The following is a 19,140-nucleotide window of genomic DNA, read 5'->3' on the forward strand; positions in this document are numbered from 1 at the left end:
CCTTAAGAGGTTTACCAAGGTCATTTATTCCCTCATTCAGTAAATATTTATTGACTATCCTCAAGTCCAGACAATGTATGAGGTGTTGGGAACACAGCAATGATCAATATAAAATTCCCATCAACAAAGGACTATGGTTCCAATAGAAGTGAGATTAAACAGTTACAAAACCCACAGTGATGGGCAACATAATAGATTGGGGTCAGCTAAAAAGGCCAGGTAGTAAATATTTTGGCTTCTGCAAGCTGCATGTGGTCGGTCAGTTTCTCTCTTTTTAATAGCATCCTTTAAAAATGTAAACCATTCTTAGCTCCTAGGCTGGACTTGGTCCACAGGGTATGGTTTGTAAACCCCTGTAATAGATGAATACACAGGATCCTCTGGAAGTCAAAAGGAGGCAGCACCTTCCTGTCTGGGAGGAGAGAAAGGGGCTTGGGAAGCTATGATGGGGAACTGTGGTGGATGGGGGAAGGGAGATGGGGCTGGCATTCAGAGTAGAGGGAGCAGCTTCACCATGGCATATAAGTAGCACTTCCATATGTATTGTCCATGTACCTGTCCTTATACATCCCAATCCTCATTTCCTCTCAATCTCCAATTGTGTCAATGGAGCATCTCTACCAGGAGGTCGTGGCAGAGCAGCAAAGTGCTAATTACATTGCCTGAGCACTCCTCACAAGCCATTCATTGCCTAATGGGGCCCTGGCTCTCAAGGATGTTCTCCTCAGCACTTTTCATACCCTAGCACACTTCAGGACAATTTGATGTTAGTTGCTTATTCCTACAAATTTGTGTTGCTTTAGTGAAACCAGCCTCTCAAGGATGCAAATAATTGATTCCTGGAAGAGGACAAGGCCTGCATTTTCTGTTGTTTTGTTTCAGTTGTTGGTTCTGAGATAATTGTTTTCTCTTTTCTGATTCAGAGCCACTGAGAGAGAGAGAGAAAGCAAGAGAGAAAGCCCCATATTTTACATATGACTTTAATTCTCCCCTTTTAATGAAACACATCCTATCTATATCACCATAGCAACAGCTATGGACTTTTCCCTCTCTCAGATGTGTTTTGAGCAGGATCAGAGATTCCAGAGGCTGAGAGCTAGCAAGGTCAAGGTGTTTCTATCTTGCTGTCAGAGGGAGCAGCAAGTGGGTCAGGTTGCACAGCTGCTCACCCATTCTTTGCTTAATGCTATCTAGTGAGAGCTATTTCATAATCCCCTTCTGGAATAAGCTTCAAATATAATCCACATTATGTGGTATTATCAATATACATCCCTCAATAGACTTTACACATCTGTGGGCAGAAGCTGCACTCTGGCCCATGCCTAGCTCGGAGCCCACCACATGGCAGAAGCACAAGAGCATGTGAAGAGTGGATGAAATTAACAGGAGGAACTGGCTATAGATCTTGCATGAAGTGGCTGGTACAATTCTCCGTGTACCCTTCTGCCCCCTTGAAAAGAAGAACTTAAGGAAGGATTTTTAAATGAACTTGTCTAATGTATCCCAAATCAGGAAGATTCTTCTTGTCCAGCCCCCACTACTGCAATGGAATCTAAGGCATGTTTCTTTTCAAATATTATTTTTTCCCTGGCTAATGTATTTTCTTCTTTTCATAAATATCCTACTTTATACTGGACATTAATCTAACCATTTAGACATGATTAGCAAGCTAAGGGTCTTACTTATTAAAAACAGTTCATTTTTCCTTCTTAAAGAAATGGAGACATTTGAATCCCTGAATGTGCTCATTTATCACCAATCCCCAACAAGGAATCCAGGAGTTCTCTGTGTAGGACATGAGTAATTTTTATAAAAATGCAGTTGCTGACTATGTCATACATCCATGCAGCTTTATAAAACAAAGCAAATGATTACCATCAATTACAATAACCTCACTAGACAAGACTGCAATTAATCTATAGCTCTTCAGATAACGACTGTTGCACTGTGCCAAGGAAAATGCCTGGCATTAATTGACTTATCACGATCAGCAGTGATAGATAGGGCAGATGGCAATGTGATCATTCACTGTCAACAAAATAAACACATGCTTTCTTGCTAGAAGTGTCTACTTGGGTCCTCTCAAAGGATAGCCAAAAATAGAGGCCAAAGGTGGCTTTGAAGGTAGCACAAAATAAAAATTAAGTTAACCAGATTCGCGCAATCTACCCACATAACAAACCTGCATGTGTACACTTTAATCTATAATAAAAGTTGAAATTCATTTTTTAAAAAGTTAACCTTCAGGGTGAGATATGTTGACTTTTACTGAGGCTAATCCTCAGTAGAATACAATTGAAGGAAATTTCTATAAGAAAATCATGGATTGGTGCAGTGGCTCACGCCTGTAATCTCAGCACTTCGGGAGGCCGAGGTGGGCAGATCACTTGAGGTCAGGAATTCAAGACCAGCCTGGCCAACATAGTGAAACCTCACCTGTACTGAAAAAAATTAGCCAGGTGTGGTGGTGCACACCTGTAATCCCAGCTACTAGAGAGGCTGAGGTAGGAGAATCGCTTGAACCCAGGAGGTGGAGGTTGCAGTGAACCGAGATCATGGCACTGCACTTCAGCCTGGGTGACACAGCGAGACTCCATCTCAAAAAAAAAAAAAAAATTATGGATTGTATAGAATTTCAGCATCAGAAGATACATTAAAACTGACAGTTTCCCCTGCTCATTCGAATGTGAGTCACCTTTATGGAGTCACCAAATTCTGTTCAGTGCTTAATAACTCCAGTAATGGGGCTGAGTGCAGTGGATCACACCTATAATCCTAGCACTTTGTGGGGGGGCCAAGACAAAAGAATTGATTGAGCCCAGGAGTTAGAGGTTACAGTGAACTGTGATGGTGCTACCACTGTACTTCAGCCTGGGTAACAGAGTAAGACCCTTTCTCTCTAAATAAATAAATAAATAAATAAAATAATTCCAGTAATATGAAGTCACAATTTTCAGAGGCAAACTCATTTCATCACTGTATCGTTTTCATCGTTAGAACACATATGCAGCTGAATTCCATCTTTTTGTAGCTACCACCCATTGGCCATAGGTGTCTTCCCTTATGCTACACAGAAGATGCCAAACTCTTCTTGCTTGCTGAAATCCGTAAATGGGATCTCAAAAGTCAACTGCTTATCGCACTACTTTGCATATAGCATTGTTTCGGGGACTCTGAAATTCTGGTCTCTTGCACCTAAACCCATACCAGTTCGTCTATAGACCCCTGACATTGAGAGGCTTGGAAAGAAATGTGATACGATGACTGCATCTACCCAGGGCAAGGTAGATTATACCTATGCTGAGGCCAGTGCTCAAGCCTACATTGGAGCAGTGGATGTGTGTGTGTGACCACCCTACTTGGGAAGCTGTTCTCCAAGTCTCATTAGTCTAGATAGCATCCCAGCCTTGCCATTTCCAGGGGACAATTACCAATGTGTGTGCCTTCCCCCCTTTTTAGCAGTGTGATTTTGTTGATTAAGTCCCCTTTGTTTAGAAAACTGGGATAATTCAGGCGGAGTTTCACCTAAAATTGTCACAGTGGTCGCTAACCAAAATCTCTTGGGGAAAGTTTTACAAATGTACAAACCTGGATCCTATATCCTGAGACTGATTCAGTTGGTTTTGGGAAGGACTGAGAGGAAAATATTTTGACAAGGCTTCCCAGTTCATTGTGATTTGCAACCCTGCTTACATGCTTTCTTCACTCATTGCTTTCTTCACTGGGAACACATAATAATGTACCATTGTGGAAGTGCTTCACAAACCTAATCGTCAGACTCTCCTGGGAACTTTTAAAATGCAAATTCTTTGGTGCACCTGATACCTGTGGTCTGGTGTAGGTCTAGGAAAATTCATACACTAAGAGATCAAATTACTATATGTTTCCCTTAAGGATTTTGGAAGCACTCATTTACTCTAAAATTGTGGTTCACGTATAAGTTACAAAGCACCCTTATCATATACTGAAGAAACAAGTGTCACTAAAGAATAATACAATGTAAAGATTTTAGCCTAGTAAACATCTACATTTTATCAATTATTCATTTAACAAATATTTCTACTCTGAAGCAGTGTTGTGATAGGTGCTGGAATATGACAGAATATGGGGGAGAAAAAGAAATAACAGCAAACAAAAAAATGAGCAAGTAAGTCAACAGATAAAATAATTACAAACCTTAAAATAACTTAAGAGGAAGAATTCATCTAATTTTGAATATTCTCTAATTCAGACCGGCAGTACCCAGTTATGCTCAAATTGTGACTTTCTGTCCTGCTTTCATTACATTTCTTGTTGTACTCTAGTTCAGAATCTGCAACTTGGGAGCCTGGCATTACAATGCCTTTGGCAGACATCCCTAATCAATCCTAGTATTTTTTTTCCCTACAGATCCAGGAGGGAGACCCATACTACAGCTCAACCCTATTGTTTATAGAGTCATGATTAACAGATCACAGATAAAATGCTAGATGAAATCATGCAGCTTCTCTAGCACACACTGCCCTGACATGCCTCGGGGCTTTTGCTCGCACTAGCCCTCATTTCCTGCTTTGTCATTGTTGTTTATCAATCATTGAGTACTTTCAGTGTTTTTACATCTGGAATCCCACTTAATTTTTAAAATGGAGGTGTCTAAACTGTGCCTTAGAAGGCTCAAGTAACATCCCAAGATCACACAGTGTGTATCAAAGCAAGACTACAAAACTCAGGTCACTGGACTCCAAAGCTGATGGTCTTAAAATTGTTCATCATTGCCTCTCTTTACAGCCCAGTTCAAGGGGCACCTTCTCTGTGAAGCTTCTCCTGACCCCTTCAAGCAAAATTTACCACTTCTTCCTTTGAGTTTGCCAGGGCCTTTGTACATCCCCATTACAGCATGACATTATACTTTAATGACTTGAATGTAGCACTCTTTGAGCTCCTCTGTGGTAGGAGCCCTTTTTTTAAATCTCTGTATCCCTGGTAACTAGCTGAGTGCCTAGGCAGGCTCTTAGTGACACATTTTGGATGCACATTAAAATCTGGCTGCTGGACTCATTAAGATTGTGGGTCTGTTTCTTAGTGCTTGGCCTTAACACACTAAAAATAAGGCCAGATTTATACATGATCTTTAAAAAAATAAAAACACCACATGCAATACATATTTTTGTAATTTCAAAGCCTTCCTAACATCAGTTATTGAGGACTCTTAAGCAGAAACCTAGTCACAGGGCATTTAGCCTGTAAGGACCCCTGATCTCTAGTTCATAAACACCCTCCAGTATAACGGGGGTAAAACAGATCAAATTACCTACACCCTACTTGTGAAGTGTCACACCACAGATGACAACTGTTTAAACTGTAGCTCTTGTCCTATAAATGAAACTGTGGTTGGGCTCTCTGCTGTGGCCTGAGTTCTGTCTGGGTTGATGGTGGCACACAGTGACGTTTCCATTTTGCAGAAACTCAGGAAAACTATTGAGTTGCCTGACACTTATTTCACAGTATGTTATAGTTTTATGCAAATATGACTCATTATATTCAAAAGAAAAGTTATGGAATCTGTGCTATCATATGTGACACGTGAGAGGCTGATCGCCCAGATAGGTGTAAGTAAAGATGTATTATATATATAAGGTGAGGATTTGGGGTTGAAATAATGCTCTAGAAATATCACTGGACATGAGTCTCAAGAGAGCTGCAACATTGTCTCAGAAGGAAAGAGCTAGTTTCATTGTAGCCTTCCCTGGAAAATACTAGAAGCTTGTTATTGACTTCGATGTCAATTTGCAAAAGACAGATGGAGAAAGAAGGCATGGGCCTTCTCATTTCATAGATTAGAGCGAATCCCTTTGTTATGTTATCCCATCTTGGACACAAACAGGCACCCAATCTTATAAGTTGACATTTAACCTTAGTACTTTGACAGACTAACATACCTCCCCAGAGAAGGCCTGTCCATTGAGGAGGTGCTCCGACCCTTGGCTGTCCTCACTCCCAAAGTGTAGTCGGATCTCCTCCAGCCGGTGGCTGTATGTCATGGGCCCTCCAGATATGTTGACCAAGTGCTCCTTGTCCAGGCGAAGGGATACGTGTCTTCCAGTGTTGTACATGGTCCCACTGACCTGCAAGGCAATTAGCAACAGGTCAAGCAAGGCCCTCCTTCTTCTATGCCTCCCCAAACCCAGCATGGTGCTTGGATCAACACCTTTTGCTTCCTCTTGATGGGAAGATGGGCTAAATCCACATGTGGAGTAGGGCGTGGCAGCTGCCCCAGAGGGTATATGTGGGATCTATGGTAATTTCTGTGAGGCATAAACCACATGATGGCTTAGGAATTTGAGGTAAGAACTTGAAGGAGACTTTTCATCATTTGTGATTAATATTTTGTGCATTGTATTTTATAAAAAATGAATTTGTCCTTCTTACTATAAGGATTTGGAATGGAAAGATACTGCAAGAGTTCTAAATCTCAGCTGTGAGAAATTGGAGAAAGCAGTTAGCAAGGGGTGAGATATTAAGAAGGCCAAATGAGACAGGGAAGAGAAAATGAGTGACTAGAAGCAGACGCTCATGGGAGATGGAAAGCCTAGGTCTGAATTCTCAAGCGTCCTATCTGGTGTGTCCTGCCCTGCAACCAGACATTGCACAGAATCCTCATAGCTTGTGGGCCTCAAGTGGTAAACTAAAGGGATTCACTCAAACTTCCAATTTCATAGATTCCTAGACTTACTCCTTATTCCTGATTCCATCTTGCTCCAGCCCCTTCAAACTGCTAACATGACTGCTTGGCATTCCTTTTCCTTCTTTTCTTGCTGGGACTTGATGTTCAGCTTCATTTTCCTGACTGTGACCTCAACAACAATTGATTCTAGAACACTCATTCCCATCTGAAACTCTACTTTCTTACTCTCTTGGGTTGACTTAGCTCTGGGAGTAGGATCTAGAGCTTAGGGAGACTTTGAATGAGTCTGGAAGGAGTGTTTCTGGGTTACAGGAGGCTGAACTATTTGGATTTTCTTCCTGCTTACTCTGACTTTGGGCCAAGCCTTCAGCCCTAGTGATTCCTGAAGGGCTTCCTGTACCTTCTGACACCTTCATTAGATGTGGTTTTCATATATGTGCTCTATAGCACTATCTTTTACCTGCCTCTTTTCCACCTTTCTGACACTGGTGTTGTGAATGATTAGCTCTTGAGTTGTTCACTGTGGCAGAGACCATAATGCTCACCAAATATTCCAGTGACTCATTTTGTTTCCTGCCACCTTACTGTAGAATGGAGCCCATGTGACTGATAGGGGCCATGGGTTGGGAGGGGTCATGACAAGTGTCACTTCCAGGTTGAAATAGTGGATTCCCCAGACTCACCTTTCCCTGGTACATCGACCAATGGCATTATATGGAAATGGCAATGTGGTGCAGCGACTGCATGGAGCTCATGTCAGCCTAGGCCCCTAGAGATTATGTGCAGTTTACAAAAATGACAGGAATTCTTCCCCTCCCTATAACTACACTCCCAACAATGTAATTTTGTAACTGCTGTCATCTAGATAAGAGGCTATTTCTCTACGTCGAGTCTGGGCTGGCCTTGTCACTTACTTTGGCCAACAGCATGTGCTGCACACAACATGCTAGTCCTGAGAGTAGACCTTGAGGGCATGCGTGTTTTCTTCACTTCTTCGTGGAGCCGTGAAACTACCATGCAAATGAGCCTGGGCTAGCCTGCTGGAGGATGGGGCCACAGTGAGGAGAGCCATCCCAGGAGAGGCCGTCTAGACGGGCTACTCTGTGGCTGATCCACTAGCTGACTGGCCCAGCTGAGATCAGCTTAGCCTGGCCCAGGTCAGAAATGTCCACTGACCCATAGGCTTGGAGCTAAATGATTATTTAAGTCTCTAAATTTTGGGGTGGTTTGTTATGCAGCAAAAGGGAACTGATAGACACTAAGTCAGTCATCTTCTTTCTCCTGTGAAATCTGGAACTATCAACAGAAACTCTCCGTTGAGTTCCTGAACTGCAAGGTCGCCTGAGTGCCAACCATACTGTTAAGCAGAGAAAGTCAGATCAGAGAGAGAGGACTGAGGCAGATGTCCCAACATTGACAGAGGAGACCACACACTGGGGAACGGGGGAGGGAATGGGGAGAATAACTACTTCGCTTCAGATATCTTTGTGTCTCTTCGTTCTAGTTCCTTCAAGAGGCCTGAACTGTACTTTCTAATATTCTACACCTTACCAATACATTTTTAAACCTCAAGTTATCTATTCCTTGCAACCAAATGATCCATGCCAATGACTTCACTCCTGTTCTCCAGCCTCAAATAAATGTATATTTAGTTAGTGTGAGATAATCAGAACTTTTCATTTCCCATAACTTCCTTTTCAGTACAATAGCTCAAGACAGATTTGTGTTAGACGTGACTTCCATCTCTAAATATAACCTATTTTTTCTAATTATTAAGATAATACATAGGCATTATTATATGGTTCGAAAGATATGGGACAGCAAATCGACCACAATTTCACAATTAAACAGGAATCACCACTAATATTTTGGCATATATATAATTTTCACACTCATACTTATAGACCCATAATTTAATGAGATTTTATATATGTGCATTATAAATATATAATATAGACTTTTCACTTGCATATATGTATATTATATATGACTTTTTATGTTATTCTAACATATAGATATTTCCATGTCATTAACTATTCTTTAGCAATATCACTTTGAAATATCTACATCATATTTCCTTGTAAAAATGTTTAGCTGATTGTTGAATCTTTACAGCCCTTTCACTTTTTCATTATTGTAAAAAAAATCTGTAATAAACATCCTCATGGATAAATCTTTTCACGAATCCAGAGATATTTCATTATGCAAATTCCAGGTCAAATAGTGTACACATTATTACAGCATTTACTATGTATTGCTGCATCCATCTGCTATGGGGAGTAGATCCCACAGAGCAGGGCTGGATCTCTGTAATTCCCTTCAAATGACATTAAGCACAGAACCATGGGATTCAATCTAGTGACATTCTGTGGTATAAAAGGCAACAAAAAACATTGCTCCAAGTTCCTATGACATGCATGCTTTGTGCCATTGGGCAAGTATCTTGGGCTTCCTAACACTTCTAGAAATCCTTTCATCTATGTCTGTCTAATGTTCTCAAGAAAATTATTGCCCATTGAATCAAGGCACTGACTACATTTTATGCTTGTGTGAATTTTCCCAGTACTTGGGAAACACACTGGCACAAGTAGGTGGAAAAATCAGGGGCCCTGGAGTCAAAAGATTCTCAGTCTGCCTCTTGCGACCTAGGGTAGTTTACTGAATTTCTTGAAGCTTCAGTTTTCTTAACCATAGAGGTAACAGAATTTCCTCCATGAAAATGGCAGACAAAAAAGCTATAAGGCATATTGAAACAAATAGCAAAATGACAAAGTCCCTTCTTATCAGTAATTACTTTAAATGTAAATGGATTCCACTTGTATGCTATATCTAAAGTAGCCAAAATCATAGAAACAGAAAGTAGAATCGTGATTGCCAGGGACTGAGGGAGGGAGGAAGAGAGAGTTAGTATTTAATGAGTATAAAGTTTCAGTTTTGCAAAATAAAAAGAGTTCTGGAAACAGATGGTGGTGATGGTTGTACAACAATATGAATGTACTTAACACCATTGAATTGTACACTTAAAATGGTTAAGATGGTAAATTGTATGTCATATGTATTTTACAACAATAAAAAGTTGGTAAAAATTGCCCTCACGAGGTTGTGATAATTAACTAATATATGTGATGGTCACACGTGTTCATTCTCTTCCTTCCCTTACTCTTGGCTATTATGGCATGGGTGCCTAGGTGATATTGAAGGATTCTCGTTGATCTTTCTTCCCCATGTCTTCCCCAATTCCCAGAGCCTGGTGGAATATAATGTTGCTTGCTAAATGTCATAATGAAGAACTGGAGCTAACTTCTGCCTTGTGATGATTCACTGGCCTCTCATTTTGGATTTTAAGGTGCTAGACATGAGGAGAATGCAAGATCATATTGAAGGCCATGAAGCAAACCCCAAACCAGAAGCAGGAATACACCAATGTGCCTTCTAGTTCTTCGATCTCACTTCCAGACCCCTTCTGCATACATGGCTCTGTCTTCATTCATTCATTCGCTTGGCCATTTACTCAGAACAAAACATTCAATGCACCTAACAGTGTGCTAGGAGCTGGGGACAGTATGACTTTGAACAAAGCCAGTCCCTCTCCCTGCCATCATGGAGCTCACACTCCATTATGGAGAGACCTGAATGGGGGCACAAAGTTATGGGCAATCCATAACTGCTATCATTTTCCTATGTGTTCTTACAACGAGATGCAACACCCCCTTTTCCCCACTCTTCCCATAGATACCGAAATAACATTAATTTGTATTAATCAAAAAAAGCTGTGTAGCCAGGGCATGGTTTGTTGCACTTTAATTTAAAAATAAAGGCTTGACAACGTTATGTATGATATCTGAGGGTACATCTGCACCGCAGTAATTAACATTGCAGCAGTGCCATTTTATCTCGAATGCTAATTACTGTGTTTTCAATGAACTATTTGGGTGCGCAGCATGTTGGAAAAAGTTATATTATACAGACCAGGAAACAAAACAGAATGGAGAAGTTGAAGCTGCAGGGGATATCCAGGTTGCCTCTGGCTGCCTCACAGTTCTTTTTGTTTTACCTTAATTCACTGCAAAATAAGGTGTGAGATGGGTGTGATGTCCATTTTACCAGCAAAGGAAGTAAGCGGGGGCTGGTGAAGGTTCAGTAACTTATCCAGAATCACACAGTGGCAGGTGGCAAACCCAGGTCTTCTGATTCCAAGACTAATGATCTCGATGTAAGCAAATGCAAGTGTCCTTGCTCATTTCAGATTAAAAAAAAATACTTTGGGGGGCCAGGTACTTTGGCTCATGCCTGTAATCCTAACATTTTGGGAGGTCGAGGCAGGCGGATCACCTGAGGTCAGGGGCTTGAGACCAGCCTGGCCAACATGGCGAAACCCCGTCTCTACTAAAAATACAATTAGCGGGGTGTGGTAGCAGGCACCTGCAGCTACTCGGAAGGCTGAGGCAGGAGAATCACTTGAACCCAGGAGGCAGAGGTTGCAGTGGCTGAGATCGCGCCACTGCACTGCAGCCTGGGTGACAGAGTGAGACTGCATCTCAAAAATAAATAAATAAATAAATAAAATAAAAAACAAGTAAATAAAAAATATGTTGGGGATTTTCATTTCTTCTCCAGTCTCTATTTGCAGATCTTAGGCAGTTCCAGAAAAAGTGGGATCTTTTTCAGGAAAAGAGAGGACTATAATTGGATGCTAGCCTGCTGAAGTTCATCCCAGGAGGAGGCTTCGAGAAACCTGAAGGTCAAGGAAGTCCCTCAATTTCCTCACCTGCGGAATTCATACTGGTTTGAGACTGGTTGGAGCTACGTATATTGAGGGAAGCAGGTAATAGGTGCTCCACAGATGTGCCTGTCCAGGTTGTATGTCAATCAATATTATCTTGATAACTTGAGACCATCTAGAAGCACTATGTTCTTTTGCAAAGCAAAAATTGTATGCCTGGTGTATTTATTTTGCAAAATTAGATGTCTTTGCATAGCAAACACAGTGCTTTGCAGCAGTCAGTGATTTGGGGCCTCTAATAAATGGGGTCATCTTTTTTCATTCTGGTGACACTATCATGTTTAGAGGGAAATAAATTTGGTCAATGCATTTTTAAGGTAGGAAAAATTTTCATTCTTTGAAATTCAGCCACAATCCTGTTCATAAAGATGGCATCTTGGTTAGAACTTTACTGGGTGCCACAGGGGGTGGCGGTAAATTCTGAACCTGAATTTTCTCTGTTAATCATCACAATTTCTCCCTCACCAAACCCAGCACCATTTGCTTATTCTCAGTGGGAAGATATTAGGCTAAACCCATATGTGGAGGGAAGGCCTCCCACAGGGCATACCTGTCTTACCTGGTTTCTATGGCACTTTCCATAGAAGCAAACTGCCATCAGTCGGGGGCCAGAACTTGACCTCAGCTATCTTTGGCTCTAAAGCCTGTGCTTTTAACCACTGGAAATTATTAGGTTGTGCAGTTTTTGTTTCTGTTTTTTGATACGGAGTCTCACTCTGTCGCCCAGGCTGGAGTGCAGTGGCGTGATCTTGGCTCACTGCAACCTCCACCTCCCGGGTTCAAGTGATTCTCCCTCCACAGCCTCCCAAGTAGCTGGGATTACAGGTACCTGCCATCACGCCCAGCTAATTTTTATATTTTTAGTAGAGACGGGGTTTCACCATGTTGGCCAGGCTGGTCTCGAACTCCTGACCTCAGGTGATCCACCTGCCTCGGCCTCCCAAAGTGCTGGGATTACAGGCATGAGTCACCACTCCCAGCCACAGCTGGTTATTTAACAATGTAATATTACAGCATTTTCTTCAAGAGGTGGGTTGAGAGTGTAGGAGCCTCACAGTAGTTTGGAGCTCAGGATGTTTAGGATTACTTACTGTTTACTCAGGGTTCTCTAGAGAAACAGAATAGTGTGTGTGTGTGTGTGTGTGTGTGTGTGTGTGTGTACATATATATGTATAAAGACGGGTAAAATAAAGAGACAACACATGCGCACACACACATACATACTACTGTGTGTGTGTGATATATATATATATATATATATATATATATATATATATATATATATATCACGTAAAATAAAGAGATTTTAAGAAATTGTCTCATCTAATTATGGACATTGGCAAGTCCAAAAGCCTGCAGGCTGGAGGCAAGAGCTGATGCTGTAGTTTACCTCTGAAGGTACCCTGCAGAATTCCTTTTCATTCAGGGAGGTCAGTCTTTTTGATCTCTTGAGGCCTTCCACTGATTGGATGAGGCCCATCAACCTTATGCAGGGCAATCTGCTTTACTCAAATTCCACTGATTTAAATGTTTATCTCATCCATAGACATTCTCACAGAAATATCCCAATTAATGTTTGACCAAATATTTGAGTGCCATGGCCCAGCCAAGTTAACACATCAATTAACCACTACACTTATTTTCAAATTCTATTTGCCTTCTTTATTACATCAGTTCAAATAGCTCTTAACCAAATAGTTGTTCTGATACCACACATAAAGGGTTATATATATAATACAAATATGCGTGTGTGTATATATACATGCATATATTATATAGCTACATTATCTATATCTGTATATATTATATATACACATATGTATATTATATATGATACAAACACATATGCATTTTATCTATATATTTCCTACATCACATAATTTTAAAAGTCAGCTACACAAAGACTGTTTTCCAAATGTCAGTCACATAGAAGGAGAACCAGTTTGAAAAGATGTACATCTGAATGATAGAACAATTATAAAGAAATAATTTAACTTTTCTTGTTAAAGAACAAGGCAGGTTTATCCTTGAGTATAGATGGGACCATGGAGATTATTTTGATGTAAATCCCCTATTGTTTTGGGTCTTAGATGTTGTATAAACTCATATTTTGAGATAACAAAGAGGAAGAGGTATATCTTTTTATAAAGACCAATTCACAAAATACACATGTCAAAGGTCTTTTGGTTTAATGGAGATAGCGCTTGTAGGGTGGATGTTTACTGCAGAAAGCTAAGCTAGAGGAAATCTTACCTTCAGAAATTCCAAAAGATTCAATAAGTAGCTACTTGCTTGATGTGACACAAAGATTATGTGAGGTTTCCGATATGTTCTCTCTCAAGGCAGTCTGACTCAGATCTCCTCTAATATAGTAAAAAATAATTCTCTACAGCTTAAATGGAAATATAACACTAAAAATGGAGTAGCTGAGAGGAAATAGAATTTCAGTCATGCAGAAGGAAGAGATGGCCTATCTGACGTGTACAGGAGCTACTTGCATTCTTAACCCAGTTAGTTAGGAAAGGAAGGGTGGAGGACACCTACTAATTGGAGGATTTACTATGTGTCAGATGTTGTACCACTTTTTAGATTAGAAAACCAGGTACAGGTCGGCTAAGAATTCTACTCAAAGATACAAAAGGAATAAGTGAGGGGACTAGAATTCAAGTCTTCATGACCCAAGCTCATGCTCTTCCCAGGGTCTCAAGGAGTAGCTTCAAAGTCACTGTAGAGAGGGTGCACTCCCATTTCTCAGTGACCATGTACATTTCAGAAATTTCATAATGTCCTTTTTATTTATTTACTATTCTATATGGAATTGGCACCTGGGCCCTGTTCACTGGTAACATAGAAGAGCCGGCATTCTTGCCTTTGAGATTTGGGATACAGTCTTCTTCAGCAGATTTTTTTTTTTTTTAACCAACAAGAATGAGCTTGAATCAACAGATTTTCTTTTACTATAACTATAAAAATACATAACTATAAACACGCTGGGAGCTGATAGACCACAACATCCACAACAGCGGCTTGACTGTGGTGTACTCTGGGCTGTGTACTCAGTCCCTTTCCATCATCATCTCATTTCACCCTTATGCTGCCCAGGTGAGGAAGGCATTATCCATATTCTGCATATGAGGAGACAGAAGCTCAAAGGGGTTAAAGGATTTTTACTTAAAGCACCACAGTTAGAAATTGGCAGTCCCAGAATTCTAGCCCAGGCCTATTTGACTGCACATTCTATAGCTCTTTAAAAGAGAAGAAGTCAGAAGTTGGTAGGAAGAGTGCTGAGTGCTGGGGAAATGAGGTAGTTGTTTTTTTTTTTTTTTTTGAGTCTTTGCTCTGTCGCCCAGGATGGAGTGCAGTGGCGCCATCTCGGCTCACTGCTGCAAGCTCCGCCTCCCGGGTTCACGCCATTCTCCTGCTTCAGCCTCCGGAGTAGCTGGGACTACAGGCGCCCGCCACCATGCCTGGCTAACTTTTTTTTTTTGTATTTTTTAGTAGAGACGGGGTTTCACCGTGTTAGCCAGGATGGTCTTGATTTCCTGACCTCATGATCCGCCCGTCTTGGCCTCCCAAAGTGTTGGGATTACAGGTGTGAGCCACTGTGCCCAGCCATGAGATGAGGTAGTTTTTAAAAAGCTTCTGGGGTTAGGGATCAATTCTTAATTAAAATATGATGTCTGCATGGATATGCCAGGTTGGGTTTAATGTATCCAGACCTGGTCTAGACCCAGGGTGGCAGGGCAGTTCCAGTCCCCGCTTGCTGGGAGTTGAGAGATGGGTCATACCTGCCTCTCCTAGTGTTGGCTGAGCAACTGGGTGGCTGAGCCCAAAATGTTGGGAGGCCACTCAGTGAAGAAGATTCAACGGCCGTGTCATGAATTAGGTGACCTTTCTTTGCAACCGAAGTTTCCTGTTATATGTCTCTGGCCACTCTGCTGAGGTGTGTAATAGGCTTTCTTTGCAATGTAATTAGTGAGTCTGAGATTTAAGAACACCACTTAGTCTAGTTTTCTGCAAAGTAGCTCAAGAGATCAAAGGGCTGATTTGTAAAGAGTGAATACAAAAAGCCAGTGTGCTGCCTGCTCACATGGGCACTCTGGAAGCATCGACGCAAGAAAAAAAAATTAGTACCAAAAACTGGAGTCAAATCATTGGCTTCAGTGCAGCATAGCAGACACACAGATTAGCAAACTTAGGGGCGTATGGATTCTAAAGCTAAAGGACTTCAGAGATCATCAAGCTCTTATTCAATAAACCAGGAAACTGAGACACAGAGTGGTTGAGTGAGTTGTCCAGGATTATGCAAACAAGTAGCAAACCCAAGATTAGAAATCAACCCACTGAGTGTTTCTTGCTTTATGTAGCACTCTTCCCCCTCCTCTTATTCTCTTGCTTTTCCTTTAAATTATCTTATGCTGAGGGTACCTAAGAATACTGACTCAAAGTTAGAAATGCTAGAGTACTATAATAAGTGTGTGTATACACAACTACCATAGCCTATAGAAAAACAGAAACAATTCAAGTTGACATCTGGACCTGCCATTTACATGACATGTATCTAGATACTGGGCTCTTCTCACTGTTTGTCCAGATGTTTTATGCTATGTAGCTTTCATAGTATTGATTAGAAATGGAAAAGATTAGAGGCTAGATAAGAGCATGGTGGCAGAGGGTGTGGAGCTTTAGGAGTAGGCCTTTTTTTTTTCTTTTGCAATGCATCTTTGAAAGAAAGCAGAAGGGAAATATTTGGAGCTCGTAGGCTGGGGCTGTTAGGAAAAGAGTGGCTTAGATGTAGGTAAATAAGAAAATGGAACCAGACTGGAGCGATCTGCTTCGAGTTACCATTGGTGGGATTGGGTAGGAGAGTTGATGTACTTCTGAGATCTCACCCACTACTCTTAACCCTGCAGGGAAAATAGTGGGTTTTTTTCCCTTAGTAATGCTAAGTTTACGCTGATCTTTCTCTTACCTATCCATCTGAGTCAGCCTGTGTTTCCTCTGTAAAAAGGATAGGATTTTGGCATCTACACTGAAAAACTAGATGAAATGATCACATGCACTGCTTATTATATTAAATCATATTATTATTAAAAGCATTGAATCTGTTTTTGATAATATTGACTCTTCAAATAATACATGATTTATTTGCACACTCTGCAGGGATGCTAGGTAGCACCATTGCAGTGAAGCATCTCTTCAACTTGATTGATCTTGGTAATGACAAAAGACACAGAGAACAGGTGTGAAAGATATTGCTTGGTTCACTAAGGCGTGGGCTAAATCAAGAGAATGCTCCCTTTCCTCCATCCAACCCAAGGATACCATGGGCTCATGGCTGGCATTAGGCTGAACATGTTCTTGCCACACGTAGTCATTGGCGCTGAAGCCCTTCACCTATTTCAGGCTGCCCAGCCTCTGACCAGGAAGGCACACTTCAGAGAGTGGTATCTGGAATGAGTTTTTCCCTCACAATCCTGGTATGTAGGTTTCCGGGGGGTGAGTCCCATGTATTTCTTTCCTACTGAACCACCACTGCCAACCAATGGTTTTATTAGTTTAATATTGTTATTTTAATAATTTAGTATTATAAACAAAATTTAAATTTGTTAATTTGTCTTCTGTGTCTGCTTAGCTGCCTTATGAACATTAAAAATCCTGACACAAAACCTTCGAGGTCAGCATGAGCTTCCCATTTTCCAGTAAGAGGGTGGTGCCACATGCTCAGCTCATATGGCCAGTGGGTTCAAGAGCCAGACTGTGAATGCAAGACTGTCCGATTTCAAAGTCAATCTCCTTATGCTTCACTGTGCTTCTCTTAAGTGTCAACAAGCAGGCCTAATCCGTATGACCCCAGTTCAGTGTGGGTTTCTGGTTTAGTTCTCCAATTCCTTTACCTGGGTTAAAATTCGGCTTTAAACCTTAGCCCACTAGCATGTGGAGAGCCTGGAGAGTTCTTGTCAAGCCCCTCATTGTTGGTTGTCTGGATCAATTTTTTTTTCTTACTTCTTAGTGAGTGGCTGGAGTCTTATGCCAACTGGATAAAGTTATTGGAACCAAGATGGTACCAGCTGATTGATTAGCAGTATGCCCCCAATGGAATTGCCTGTGCTGCTGCTCCTTTCATGAGTTGGGGGCTCACCTTGGCTATCTATGCCAGCCGAAATCAAGATTGGGTTGAGTACACTTCTTTGCTCTGTGTGTGTGTGTGTGTGTGTGTGTGTGTGTGCTTAAAATATATTTTAATATATCAAATATATTTAATATATGTAAATATGTAATATATAAAATATTTAATATTTTATTATATATAATAATCTATATTTAATATATTTATTTTTTTTGGTAAGGATAATATAGGCATGATTGGATGTCTATTTACCAGTCTTGATTCCTGCCATATCTCAGCACCTGAACAATGTTTGGTTTCCATTTGTTGGATGAAAATGGATAAGGTTTTGCTTTGAGCATCATCTGGGTACCTGGTCCAAGCTCCACCCCCCATTCTGCCTCAGTAGGTCTGAGGTGGGACTCAGGAATCTGATGTCTTCCTCTCCTGAGCTTCCTTTGATGTTCATTTGAGCTGAGTCTGACAGTTCTTCAGTGCAGTGGGGAAGGGGTACAGTAATATAGAGTGACTTTTTTTTTATCCTTTCTCCATCCTCCCTTCGTGCCTTAAGGAATTGCTTTGATAATTATAAAGATATAGCACTAAAGCTCTTTCTAAATATATGTAGTGGGTTATACATTGATTCATCTTCAGGCCACTGTTTTTCCCTAAACTACGAAAATTCAAGGTTAGGCTGCTTTAATTAACATACTAAAACTTGCCTTAGAAAGCTTATTTCTAGTTTAATGTCATTTAATTCAATCCCTGATTCACAGGGCTTCAGGCAAATAACTCCCGATCTCCAGTTATTTTATCTCCAAAGAGGAAAATGCCTTTTAAGGGGTGCCTGTGGAACACAGTGGCACACAGGACACTGGCAGGGTCCATAGATCCTTCTTAACATTCCCCGTGTGGTCATCACTGGTCAGATGTCAGAATCCTTGATGCCAGTTTTTCAAAGTAGAAATAGCAAATGTTTGGGGGATAATTAGATAGTAAGTCTTTGCTCATTCGTCATTTCATTGTATGCAAGTTAAGTATGTAACATTTATTTCCCATGGTGTCCTTGCCCCTATAGGCTCTCTCTCACTATGACTGCTGTGCTCTAGGACACACTGAAGACAGCCACAGTGGTCAGCAGACAGGGTAAATCAGTGAGACAGGCCAGGTGTGTGACAGCAGGGAGCGGTGGAGATGGTGGCGGTATGGAGGAGCATCATCTCTCATCTCTTGGATGTCTTTGGGGCAGTATTCAGGACACTGGGAGATGGCCTCTGGAGGAGGAACAGAGAGAAATGCAGGAAAAGGAGGGGATGGGATGCGAGACTTACTTTTCATTTTGTGCTCTTTCATATTGTTTGAATTTTAAAAATAAACAGAATCATTTTTAAAATGAAATGAAAGACTCTGTAGACAATCACATCTGATGGTATAACCTGGGATGTGTGCTACAAGAGTCCTGTCCAATACAGCAGCTATCCAAAAGAAACAGAAGGCAAGCTACATCTGTAATTTTTAAATTTTCTAGTAGCCACATTAATGAAACAAAACAGTGAGATTAACATTAGGAGTTTATTTCATGTA

The 19,140-nt window shown here is 41.0% G+C and overlaps 1 protein-coding gene across 3 annotated transcripts in view; it reads right to left on the reverse strand.

Annotated features, from left to right (window-relative positions):
* CA10 (carbonic anhydrase 10) overlaps nt 1-19,140 on the reverse strand; it is a 529,711-nt gene that overhangs the window by 111,402 nt on the left and 399,169 nt on the right. For all 3 annotated transcript variants that reach the window (NM_001082533.1, NM_001082534.2, NM_020178.5), the window contains one exon: nt 5,919-6,104. In NM_001082533.1, coding sequence (NP_001076002.1) covers nt 5,919-6,104 — 186 coding nt within the window. The remainder of the gene's footprint in view (nt 1-5,918; nt 6,105-19,140) is intronic.

This window comes from Homo sapiens, chromosome 17, assembly GCF_000001405.40.
Source record: "Homo sapiens chromosome 17, GRCh38.p14 Primary Assembly".
Taxonomy (NCBI): domain Eukaryota; kingdom Metazoa; phylum Chordata; class Mammalia; order Primates; family Hominidae; genus Homo; species Homo sapiens.